Source organism: Homo sapiens, chromosome 2 (genome assembly GCF_000001405.40).
Source record: "Homo sapiens chromosome 2, GRCh38.p14 Primary Assembly".
Lineage (NCBI taxonomy): Eukaryota > Metazoa > Chordata > Mammalia > Primates > Hominidae > Homo > Homo sapiens.
Window position 1 is genome coordinate 186,807,722 of NC_000002.12, and position 13,517 is coordinate 186,821,238.

The window sequence follows — 13,517 nt, forward strand, 5'->3', positions numbered from 1 at the left end:
AGTGCCCTCCACAATGTTGGAAGTGGTTTCTGCAAATGGAGGGCCCTGAACCTATATATCATTTGCTTCACAACAAACACCCCTGAGGAGGGAAGGGATCAGGGAAGCAAGTCAAGACCATTTAGGAATCTCCTGAAATAACCTAAGAAGTGATGCTAGGTTCCTAAAGGAATGTCAGTGACAATGGCAAAGGTATATCAATTAAAATTTCTTCAGGGAGCTCCAACTTTCAGGACTGGATGTATTTTATGAAGTTAGTAGAGACAGGAGTCACAGATGACTTCCATTTTGTCCCTGAGGGTAACTGGGTGAATGGGGAAGGAGCTGATTGACTGTGGGGGAGAGCTTTCACTTTCTTTTGAATATTTCAAGTTAAAAGTAGCAGTGGGGATTCTAGGAAATTTTCTCTGAATCTCTGAATCAATCTTGAGTTTAGATGTTATGTGTGATGCAGGCAATAGAAATTTGGGAAATTCCAGGCAGTTCTTGAAGTTACAGGTAAAGAGTATGTAAGTGATAAAATATTTCTGTTGATATCATTATTTGTTAATAACTTAAAATATTACTAAAATAGCAATTCTATTTAAGAGTATTGAGTTTTACAAACTGATATGTATTTGAGTTGAAAAAAAGTGACTTCACTGTCTCCTTTTAAATTTCATAAATATGACCATTTCACCTTACATCTCAAGTTCAATTTTTTTAAGTAGACTCTTACCTAAAAATAAGTGGTAAATAATTTTTATGTTAATTTCTCCCCTCATTATTCGTTACTCAATTTTGATTTTTTTCTATATTGCATTTTCACAGCTTTAGCACAGTGTAGAGCTTCAATAAATATTTGACAAACAGGGGAGCAAGTTAGGAGATCTTAGTCTAAGTTGTGGTACTTCATCTCTCTAGTAAACCTCAGTTTCCGCCTCTGCTATATGGGTTTGACATTGGTCATGATAGTAACACCTCCCTTATGTGGCTGATGTGATACATAAGATGGTACAAAAAAAAAAAAAAGCATGGGCTACATAAATATTAGTGATTGTTCTATAATACTAAACTTGCTTACATTACAAGGAGTCACTCATATGATTCAACATTATTAACCAATGGGGAAATCTTCAATGAAGATCTAATTATCGTTATTGCTATCAAACATCTATATCAGTGATAGTTATCAGAGTGTAGGCTTCAGATGCCAGATCATTCCTCACAGCCTCTTATGTTACACTTTTTAATCAGAAATGAGAACTATTAAAAATATTTAGAGGATTTATCAGGATTGAGATAAGTGTTGCTTAGCTGCTCTCATGCATAGTTTGTCTCCCCCCGCTCACATTACGTGTCATATAACAACAACTGCATGGTTTTCTAATGATTTAGCAGCAACTGTATAAGAAGCATAAAGAAGAGGGTTTTTACACCCTGTTATCAATGGCTCATAAATCAAATGAACTGGAGTTATCCTTAAATCATGCCCCTGTAGCAGTTTTGCTCTAAATTTTAAAAATTGAAAGTTTTAAAATTATACAATTTTTTTTAGGAAAAAAAAAATGTTTCCAGAAAACTTTTCTTAATTTCTTCACTGATACTTTGGATGTAATAAAAAACTTGTAAGAGAGCAGACCAAAACATGAGTAGGAGCTTTCCTGTTATCTTGGAGACTCAAGTCCATGGAAGAAAAGTCTAGAGAACCTTCAATTATCAGGACAGCCACCTCCTCAAAAAGTTTGCGGAGAGGTGCCTTTTCAGCAGAATTGGTGCTAATCACTCACAGCACCCCAACCCCATTAATGTAAGAGGGGGACTGGGAAGCAGATGATGTGCCCTCTGGAGAGGGGGTGTTGATGGAGGAAAGCTATCACCTCCCCTCACTTCCCAGGTGGTAAGTGAAGAATGAGCTTTATGGGTATCACCTAGAAAGTTGTTACAATTATAGACTCTTAACTGCTGCGCCAGACATATTTAATTCATGTTTGCATTTTAGCAAGTTCCCCTAGGTGATTTGTAAGCACAGTACGGTTTGAGACGCACAACTCTAACAGTCCATCTCTGCTAAGCAATATCTTTTAGGATCTCAACTACATGCTATGGGAACTCGATTAATTATCTAGAAAAGGAATTGACTTTCCACGTGAGCTCCACGGTCCTTTCTCTCCTTGGCCCATGAGAAAACCTTTCTTTCTACCACTGTTTCCTTCACTGGAACATTATTCTAGGCTCACAGTTTTTTCTGATCCTTGAAACTTCCAAGACTTTTCTAGCCTTGAGATGTTGCTTTTTTTGTGTGTGCTTCCCTTTCTTGCCATGCTCCTGTTTCCGGTCTTTGTTATTTAGATCTTTGTTGAGTTCCTGAGACCTTCTCTCACCCCATCTAAATTGGTTTCTGATCCTCAATCCTTAGGTACTTCCTAACATATTATGTCCTTATTTTTTTCTGTTTTCTTTCACTATCTGAAATTAGCTTGTCTATTTTTCACCCTTCCTCACTGGTAAGGTCCTTGAGGATAAGGATACTTTCTGTCCCTTGGAATAGAGGTTCAATGATATGGTAGACAGCAAATTTGTCTCCTGAACATTTGTATCTTCTTATTCCTGTAGTTACTTATTTACTTCTTTAATACTTTCTTGAGAACGCAAGGAAAAGTTTCAAAATATATGTGTATACACACACAGTCTCTTGAATTAAAAGTGTAAGAAGCATGGAACCTCAGTGTAATATACTCAATGAAAATTATTTCAGAAAAGAAATAGTTCTTATTTTTTCCAAGAAAAAAAGGACATGTCTTCAATGGAATAATATTCATAGAAATGAACTACTATGTAAACTTTCTGGAAATTTATAATAGGCCTCCATCCACAACAAAGATGTTGTAAAATTTAAACTAAAATAACTTCATACAACCCATTTTGTAATTAAAATAATCCTTTGAAATCTTGTATAAAGAGAAAGTTAATCTTCAGTGCATTGTATGGAAAGCTACTAGGAATCATACAGCTAAATTACCATACAGTACATTAGAGGTATGTTCCTTCATATTCCTTTGGTCACTTTTCCTCCAGAAAACACTTTTAAAAAATTAAATTATATAATTGTCATTGAAATGTAGGACTCTCTGGCTCCTGGTTAATCAGGTACTGTCAGTTTTATATTATCCTTTAAAATGATGAAGATATTTGGATAGCTAGAGAATAAATGTAGATATGATGAATTTCAGATTTTATATATACATATACACACATATATACACACATATTCATATATACACCTATGTAGAAATACACACATATATACACATACACACACACACACACACACACACACACACACACACACACACATTTTAATTTGTAGAGATGTGATCTTGCTGTGTTTCCTAGGATGGTCTCAAACTCCTGGCTTCAAAGGACCTACCTGCTTCAGATTCCCAAAGTGTTGGGATTAGAGGCGTAAGTTACCATACCCGGCCAAGATTTAATTTTAAAACATGTTAAACATCAGATAAAAGACCACTTATCCAGAAGAAATTTGGGTGAATTTTACACTGTTTATAACATAAGTAATATAATTTAAATTTTCCTATTGTCAAAATAATCAATTGAAGGTAAAAAAAATTACAGTTGAGAATTATCACTATCATATTCATACACCTTATTTTTTTGCTTACAATTTCTTAGCACTCTACAGTCTACAATAAAATCAGGAAGTAGAATGTTTTTAATTATGATTTTGAAAGGAGTTTTTTGCAAAAAATTATTATAAATCAGTGTTGGTGTCATATTTTCAAAATTCATGCCACATTTACAATGGTTTATTTTATTTGAAAGTAACTACATAATTACCTTGATCCAGATTATTTCAATAGATTTTGAGTGCTGTTTTAATAATTTACATTTTTTAAAAAATAATTTGTTTTATGAAATTTCACATTTGAGAACCATGACCGTTAGATTCTTATTCTATTTCTTCTGTAATGGACCTTTAAAATTTTAGCATCTTCTAAATCATTAGTTTTGTTATCCATATATTGAGAAAAAACTCATAAGACTCAAGCTGTGAAGACGTCCAAATAGGAACAGCTCTGGTCTGCAGCTCCCAGCAAGATCAATGCAGAAGGCAGGTGATTCCTGCATTTCCAACTGAGGTACCCGGTTCATCTCACTGGGACTGGCTAGACAGTGGGTGCAGCCCATGGAGGGTGAGCTGAAGCAGGGCGGTTGCATCACCTCACCCGGGAAGTGCAAGGGGTTGGGAAACTCCCTCCCCTAGCCGAGGGAAGCCATGAGGGACTGTGCCATGAGGAATGGTGCACCCAGGCCCAGATACTATGCTTTTCCCAAGGTCTTCACAACCCACAGACCAGGAGATTCCCTAGGATGCCTACACCACCAGGGCCCTGGGTTTCAAGCACAAAACTGGGCAGCCGTTTAGGCAAACACTGAGCTAGCTGCAGGAGTTTGTTTGTTTGTTTGTTTTTTTTTTATCATATCCCAGTAGTGCCTGGAATGCCAGCGAGACAGAACCGTTCACTCCCCTGGAAAGGGGGCTAAAGCCAGGGAGCCAAGTGGTCTAGCTCAGCAGATCCCATGTCCACAGAGCCCAGCAAGCTAATATCCACTGGCTTGAAATTCTTGCTACCAGCACAGCAGTCTGAAGTTGACCTGGGACGCTGGAGCTTGGTTAGGAGAGGGGCGTCTGCCATTACTGAGGCTTGAGTAGGCGGTTTTACCCTCACAGTGAAAACAAAGCCACTCAACTGGGCAGAGCCCTCCACAACTTAGCAAAGCCACTGTAGCCACTGTAGCCTCTCTAGATTCCTCCTCGCTGGGCAGGGAATCTCTGAAAAGAAAAGGCACCAGCACCAGTCAGGGACTTATAGATAAAACTCAGGAAAGCTCCAGGTGGCATCTGGTGGGTGCCCCTCTGGGACAAAACTTCCAGAGGAAGGAACAGGCAGCAATCTTTGCTGTTCTGCAGCCTCCCCTGGTGACACCCAGGCAAACAGGGTCTGGAGTGGACCTCCAGCAAACTCCAGCAGACCTGCAGCAGAGGGACCTACTAGAAGGAGAGCTAACAAACAGAAAGCCATAGCATGAACATCAACAAAAAGGACGTCCACACAGAACCCCATCTGAAGGTCACCAACATCAAAGACCAAAGGTAGATAAATTCACAAAGATGGGGAGAAACCAGCACAAAAAGGCTGAAAATTCCAAAAACCAGAATGCCTCTTTCTCTTCCAAAGAGTCACAACTCCTCGCCAGCAAGGGAACAAAACTAGACAGAGAATGAGTTAGACGAATTGAAAGAAGTAGGCTTCGGATGGTGGGTAATAACAAACTCCGCTGAGCTAAAGGAGCATGTTCTAACCTAGTGCAAGGAAGCTAAGAACATTGAAAAAAGGTTAGACGAATTGCTAACTAGAATAACAAGTTTAGAGAAGAACATAAATGACCTGATGGAGCTGAAAAACACAGCATGAGAACTATCGTGAAGGATACAGAAGTATCAATAGCCGAATTGATCAAGCAGAAGAAAGGATATCAGAGATTGAAGATCAACTTAATGAAATAAGGTGTGAAGACAAGATTAGAGAAAAAAGAATGAAAAAGAATGAACAAAAACTCCAAGAAATATAGGACTATGTGGAAAGACCAAACCTACATTTTATTGGTGTACCTGAAAGTGACAGGGAGAATGAAACCAAGTTGGAAAACACTCTTCAGGATATTATCCAGGAGAACTTCCCCAACATAGCAAGACAGGGAACATTCAAATTCAGGAAATACAGAAAACACCACAAAGATACTCCGCGAGAAGGGCAACCCAAAGACACATAATTGTCAGATTCGCCAGGGTTGAAATGAAGGAAAAAATGTTAAGGGCAGCCAGAGAGAAAGGTTGGGTTATGCACAAAGGGAAGCCCATCAGACTAACAGCAGAACCCTCTGCAGAAACCCTACAAGCCAGAAGAGAGTGGGGGCCAATACTGTATATTCTTAAAGAATTTTCAACCCAGAGTTTCATATCCAGCCAAACTAAGCTTCAAAAGTGAAGGAGAAATAAAATCCTTTACAGATAAGCAAATGCTGAGAGATTTGCTCACCACCAGACCTGCCTTACAAGAGCTCCTGAAGGAAGCACTAAACATGGAAAGGAACAACTGGTACCAGCCACTGCAGAAACATACCAAACTGTGAAGAACATTGACACTATAAAGAAACTGCATCAACTAATGGACAAAATAACCAGCTAGCATCATAATGTCGGATGAAATTCACACGTAACAATATTAACCTTAAATGTAAACAGGTTAAATGCCCCCAATTAAAAGACACAGATGGGCAAATTGGATAGTCAAGACCCGTTGGTGTGTTGTACTCAGAAGACCCATCTCACGTGCAAAGACACACATAGACTCAAAACAAAGGGATGCAGGAATATTTACCAAGCACATGGAAAGCAAAAAAAGCAGGAGTTGCAATCCTAGTCTCTGCTAAAACAGAATTTAAAACAACAAAGATCAAAAAAGAGAAAGGGCATTACATAATGGTAAAGGGATCAATGCAACAAGAAGAGCTAACTATCCTAAATATGTATGCACCCAATACAGGAGCACTGAAATTCATAATGCAAGTTATTAGAGACCTACAAAGAGACTTAGACTTCCACACAATAATAGTGGCAGACTTTAACACCCAACTGTCAATATTAGATCAATGAGACAGAAAATCAATAAGAATATTCAGGAATTGAACTCAGCTCTGGACCAAGCGGTCCTGATAGACATCTACGGGATTCTCCACCCCAAATCAACAGAATATACATTCTTCTCAGAATCACATCACACTCATTCTAAAATTGACCACATCATTGGAAGTAAAACACTCCTGAGCAAATGCAAAAGAGCAGTAATCATAACAAATAGTCTCTCAGACCACAGTGCAATCAAATTAGAACTCAGAATCAAGAAACTCACCCCAAACTGCACAACTATATGGAAACTGAACAAGCTGCACCTGCTCCGTTATTTACTGGGTAAATAACGAAAATAAGGCAGAAATAAATAAGTTCTTTGAAACCGATGAGAACAAAGACACAACATACTAGAATCTCTGGGGCACAGCTAAAGCAGTGTTAGGAGGAAATTTATGTCACTAAATGCCCACAAGAGAAAGCAGAAAAGATCTAAAATCAACACCCTAACATCACAATTAAAAGAACTAGAGAAGCAAGAGCAAACAAATTCAAAAGCTAGGAGAAGACAAGAAATAACTAAGATCAGAGCAGAACTGAAGGAGATAGAGATATGAAAAACCCTTCTAAAAATCAATGAATCCAGGAGCGGTTTTTCTTTTTAAAGATCAACAAAATACATAGGCCACTAGCCAGACTAATAAAGAAGAAAAGAGAGAAGAATCAAATAGATGCAATCAAAAATGATAAAGGGGATATCACCACTGACCTCACAGAAATGCAAATTACCATCAGAGAATACTATAAACACCTCTATGCAAATAAACTAGAAAATCTAGAAGAAATTGATAAATTCTTGGAAACATACACCCTCTCAAGTCTAAACCAGGAAGACAAGTTCTGAAATTGAGGCAGTAATAGCCTACCAGCAAAAAAAGTCCAGGACCAGACATATTCACAGCCGAATTCTACCAGAAGTACAAAGAGGAGTTGGTACCATTCCTTCTGAAACTATTCCAAACAATAGAAAAAGAGGGAATCCTCCCTAACTCATTTTATGAGGCCAGCATCATCCTGATAACAAAACCTGGCAGAGACACAACAAAAAAAGAAAATTTCAGGCCAATATCCCTGATGAACAATTGATGCAATAATATTCAATAAAATACTGGCAAATTGAATCCAGCAGCACATCAAAAAGCTTATCTACTACAATCAAGATGGCTTCATCCCTGGGATGCAAGGCTGGTTCAATATATGCAAATCAGTAAATGTAATCCATCACATAAACAGAACCAATGACAAAAACCAGATGCTTATCTCAATAGATGCAGAAAAGGCTCTTGACAAAATTCAACAGTGCTTTATGCTAAAAACTCTCAATAAACTAGATATTGATGGAATGTATCTCAAAATAATAAGAGCTATTTATGACAAACCCACAGCCAATATCATACTGAATGGGCAAAAACTGGAGGCATTACCTTTGAAAACCTGCACAAGACAAGGATGCCCTCTCCTCACCACTCCTATTCAACACAGTATTGGAAGTTCTGGCCAGGGCAATCAGGCAAGAGAAAGAAATAAAAGGTATTCACATAGGAAGAGAGGAAGTCAAATTGTCTCTGTTTGCAGGTGACATGATTGTATATTTAGAAAACCCATTATCTCAACCCAAAATCTCCTTAAGCTGATGAGCAACTTCAGCATTCTCAGGATACAAAATCAATGTGCAAAAATCACAAGCATTCCTATACGCCAATAACAGACAAACAGCCAAATCATGAGTGAACTCCCATTCACAATTGCTACAAAGAGAATATAATACTAGGAACACAATTTACAAGTGATGTGAAGGACCTCTTCAAGGAGAACTACAAACCACTGCTCAAGGAAATAAGACAGGACAGAAATAAATGGAAAAACATTCCATGCTCATGGACAGGAAGAATCAGTACGTGAAAATGGCCATACTGCCCAAACTAATTTACAGATTCAATGCTATCCCCATCAAGCTACCATTGACTTTCTTCACAGAATTAGAAAAAACTACTTTAAATTTCATATGGAACCAAAAAAGAGCCCACACAGCCAAGAAAATCCTAAGCAAAAAGTACAAAGCTGGAGGCATCACACTGACTTCAAACTATACTACAAGGCTACAGTAACCAAAACGGTATGGTACTGGTACCAAAACAGATATATAGACCAATGGAACAGAACAGAGGTCTCAGAAATAGCACCACACACCTACAACCATCTGATCTTTGACAAACCTGACAAAAACAAGCAATAGGGAAAGGATCCCCTATTTAATAAATGGTGTTGGGAAAACTGGCTAGCCATATGCAGAAAACTGAAACTAGACCCTTCCTTACACCTTATACAAAAATTAACTTGATATGGATTAAAGACTTAAACATAAGACATAAAACCATAGAAACTCTAGAAGAAATCCTGGCAATACCATTCAGGACATAGGCATGAGCAAAGGCTTCATGACTAAAACACCAAAAGCAATGGCAACAAAAGCCAAAATTGACAAATGGGATCTCATTAAACTAAAGAGCTTCTGCACAGCAAAAGATACTATCATCAGAGTGAACAGAATGGGAGAAAATTTTTGCAATCTATCCATCCGAGAAGGGGCTAATATCCAGAATCTACAAAGAACTTAAACAAATTTACAAGAGAAAAACAACCCATCAAAAAGTGGGCAAAGGATATGAACGGGCACTTCTCAAAAGAATACATTTATGGGCCAGGTGCGGTGGCTAACGCCTATAATCCCAGCACTTTGGGAGGCTGAGGTGGGTGGATCATGAGGTCAGGAGTTCCAGACCGGCGTGGCCTATATGATGAAACCTCGTCTCTACTAAAAATACCAAAATTAGCTGGGCATGGTGGTGTGTGCTGTAGTCCCAGCTGCTCAGGAGGCTGAGGCAGGGGAATTGCTTGAACTCAGGAGGCAGAGGTTGCAGTGAGCCAAGATTGTGCCACTGCACTCCAGCCTGTGTGACAGAGCAAGACTTGGTCTCCAAAAAAAAAAAAAAAAAAAAAAACACACACACATTTATGCAGCCAACAAACATGAAAAACAGGTCATCATCACTGGTCATTAGATAAATGCAAATCAAAACCACAATGAGATACCATCTCATGCCAGTTAGAATGGTGATCATTAAAAAGTCAGGAAACAACAGATGATGGAGAGGATGTGGAAAAATAGGAACACTTTTACACTGTTGGTGGGAGTGTAAATTAGTTCAACCATTGTGGAAGTCAGTGTGGTGATTCCTCAGAGATCTAGAATTAGAAATACCATTTGACCCAGCAATCCCATTACTGGGTATATAGCCAAAGGATTATAAATCATTCTGCTATAAAGACACATGCACACGTATGTTTATTGCGGCACTATTCACAATAGCAAAGACTTGGAACCAACCCAAATGCCATTAATGACAGACTGGATAAAGAAAATATGGCACATATACACCATGGAATACTATGCAGCCATAAAAAAGGACGAGTTCATGTCCTTTGCAGGGACATGGATGAATCTGGGAACCATCATTCTCAGCAAACTAAAACAAGAACAGAAAACCTAACACTGCATGTTCTCACTCATAAGTGCGAGTTGAACAATGAGAACACATGGACACAGGGAGGGGAACATCACACACTGGGGCCTGTGGTGGGCGGGTGAGGGGCTAGGGGAGAGATAGCATTAAGAGACATACCTAATGTAGATGACGAGTTGATGGGTGCAGCAAACCACCATACACGTGTATACCGATGTAACAAACCTGTATGTTCTGCACATGTACCCCAGAACTTAAAGTATAATAATAATAATAATAAAGAATCCAGTCATTGTTTTAAAGAATTAGTGTCATGGGAATGTACAATTTCAGGGAAATTATGTTTTAGTGGCTTTTTAACGTGTAAAAGGAACCTATTATTCCTAGCTTGCACATGTTTCTCCTAAAGTTATAACTCATTGTAAGGAAGGAAGTTTTGTCATTGTACCTTGATTATCTTCTTCAAATATATTTTAGAGACAGGATCTTGCTCTGTTACCCAAGCTGGAGTCCAGTGGTATGATCATTGTTCACTGTAGCCTTGAATTCCCAGGCTCAAGGATCCTCTCACCTCAGCCTCCCCAGTCCCTAGGACTACAGGCATGTGCCACCATGCCCAGATAATATTTTCTATTTGTTTGTGGAGACAGGGTCTTGCTATGTTGCCCAGGCTGGTCTTAAACTCCTGGCTGTAAGCGATCCTCCCATCCCAGCCTCCCAAAATGTTGGGATTACCGGCATGAGCCACAGTGTCAGGCCCAGATACTAAATTATCATTGAAACATACCTCTAGTCTATTATTGACAGTTTTCAAATAAAAGGAACTATTCAAAACTTTTCAATTTTCTTTGTCCTTTTGCTCCTTTATACTATAAGAAGAATGCACTAGCATAAAGGTACTATTAGAGCACCCAAGGCTCAAGTTGATCTTCAGTATTGTATCTTACTATGCTTTCTCAGTATTTTAAGTGTTTGAACCATACATCTTGGAAATGTGTTTTAATTATAAAATAGATGGCCACAAAACAGAAAAGTTTATTTACAAACTGAAACTAAACTTCAAAACATTGAACCTCTTTAGTGATTTAAACTTGTGTCATGCCAAACTGTCTTTTATGTGAATCAATGTTTCCTATTTTTAGCTTGAAAAATGCTCTCTCCACCCAAGAAAGACACCAATAACAACATTTTAATTTTAGAGGAATTGGTCAACTTCTTCAAAGAACACAATAAAAGTAGAACTTGTTTCACAGTAGTCACTTTCTTTTTTTTAAAAAACGGAATTCCATCAGCTTTAAATCCTCTGATTGCTTTTGAAAATGTTCCTACAAATATGTACCTCTAAATATTTCATTTAATGGTTTCTTTGAATAAAATTTATCATATGAATAAGCAACAAACATTATCTATGTAGTAATTAATCATATTAGTCATGGAGTATTTGCTAAGTATATTATTGATTAAATGTTAACTATACCTCATACTAAGAACAGTGTTTTGCTTTTATGAGCTTCAGAAAACATTCTCTAGCAAAATTATCAGCAAAAGATTAGTTTAAAATGGGGTGGTACAATATTCCCTCAATTAAAAAGCTGAAAGTCAGACTAGGAGCAAGGAAATATGATTTTTTCTGTAGTTTTGGCTCCTCACTTGTTGTGTGACCATAGATGAGACAGTAAAACACTTTAAACCTCATTTTCATCATAAAGATAACAGAATTATCTCCAAAATTGCTTTCAGCTCTTAAACCCCGTGATTCTGATGAAGGGCTAAGAGAAATTCAGGGAGCACCAGAAACGTATCTTAGTACCTCTGCCTAGATTCTTCCCCTCTCAGGGATGTTACCATATCAATCATCACACATATCAGCTGTGTCTTAATGACATTTAAAAATGTTGATCACAGCTTTAAAAAAATATCTGAAACAGACATTCCCACTTACAGCGATTGTTTTCTCTCTCCTCTCATTCATAATCCCCCTTCTTGAGTTATGTATACATCCTGCCTCACCTGCCATTCTCTCTTCAACCCAATCCAATCTGGCCTTTGCCACTTAAACTCTCCTAGTTACAATCACTAAAGCCTTCCTATTGCTAAAGCGAAACTGCATTCTTCACTCCCAAATTAAAACATTTCTCTTTCTCAACCTCCTTTGCTAGCATCTTCTCCTAAGTTTTAAATGTTGGGGTCTTCAGAGCTCTGTCTAATGTCTTGTATTTACTCAGTATGCACTCCTTGGTTGGTATCAGCAATTCACATAGCTTTTGTCTACATGCTTGTGACCCATAAATTTATATTTGCACCTAAACCTCTCTTCTGAGGTCACAACTTATATTTATAACTGCTTACCTCAAGGATGCAGGCTGATAAAGGCTCCATTATTTTGTTGATGTGCCATCTGTGATATGTGGCTCCCCAGTACGATGGCCGGGAAAGAGTGGCTGGATTGTGCAGCAGCTTCTCACCATCTCTGGCCGGAAGTAACGTTCTTCACTTTCTCCCACATTTCATTGGTCAGAGCGAGTCACAGTTCTCTGCGTAACTCCAACAGTGCTGGGAAGTATAGTTTCTTAGACACCCAGAAAGGAACTAGATAGTATTGGTGAGCACAAGTAGTATCTACCACAAAAAGAATTGTATTTGACTTCTTTTTTCCCTTTTCCCGTAACCATCACTTCCTAAATGTTTCTTTAGTATATCTAATTTTCTCTATCTCTACCTGTGGCAGGTGAGAGATGCACTGCCCAGATCAGCCTTCAAGAAAGGGCTTTTTGCCTCAGCTGCTGAAAATGCTTTCGGCAGACAGCCTGCAGCTGTCTGCTTTTTGAGGGTCTGTCTCAGCTGCATGGCCTCAGCTTGGGCACTATCTAGCCCAAGTGCACACCCTTCTTGAGATGGCCTACACCCCATGATTTATTTGTAGCAGAGTATGACTGGTGCTTTCCAACTCTCCTCCCTCTGTGAAATCTTGTTTTCTTTCTTCAGGGAAGGGATTAGGATGAGGAGAAATTAACAAAATACCAACATTTTAAATACAGATAAGATCAAGCCCCTTCTTTGCACATGTGTTAATGTTTAACACAGACACTGCATAACGAATTCTATTTAAGTATCTGTTTTTGGAAGAAACAACCTATGCAAGTTGATAATGAGAAAGGTCTGAGAAAGTTGCTGATAAGATAGGGTTTAGGAGCCAGACCACTTTCAGCATACTGCAGTGGGGACCCTCTCTCTGGTAAGTG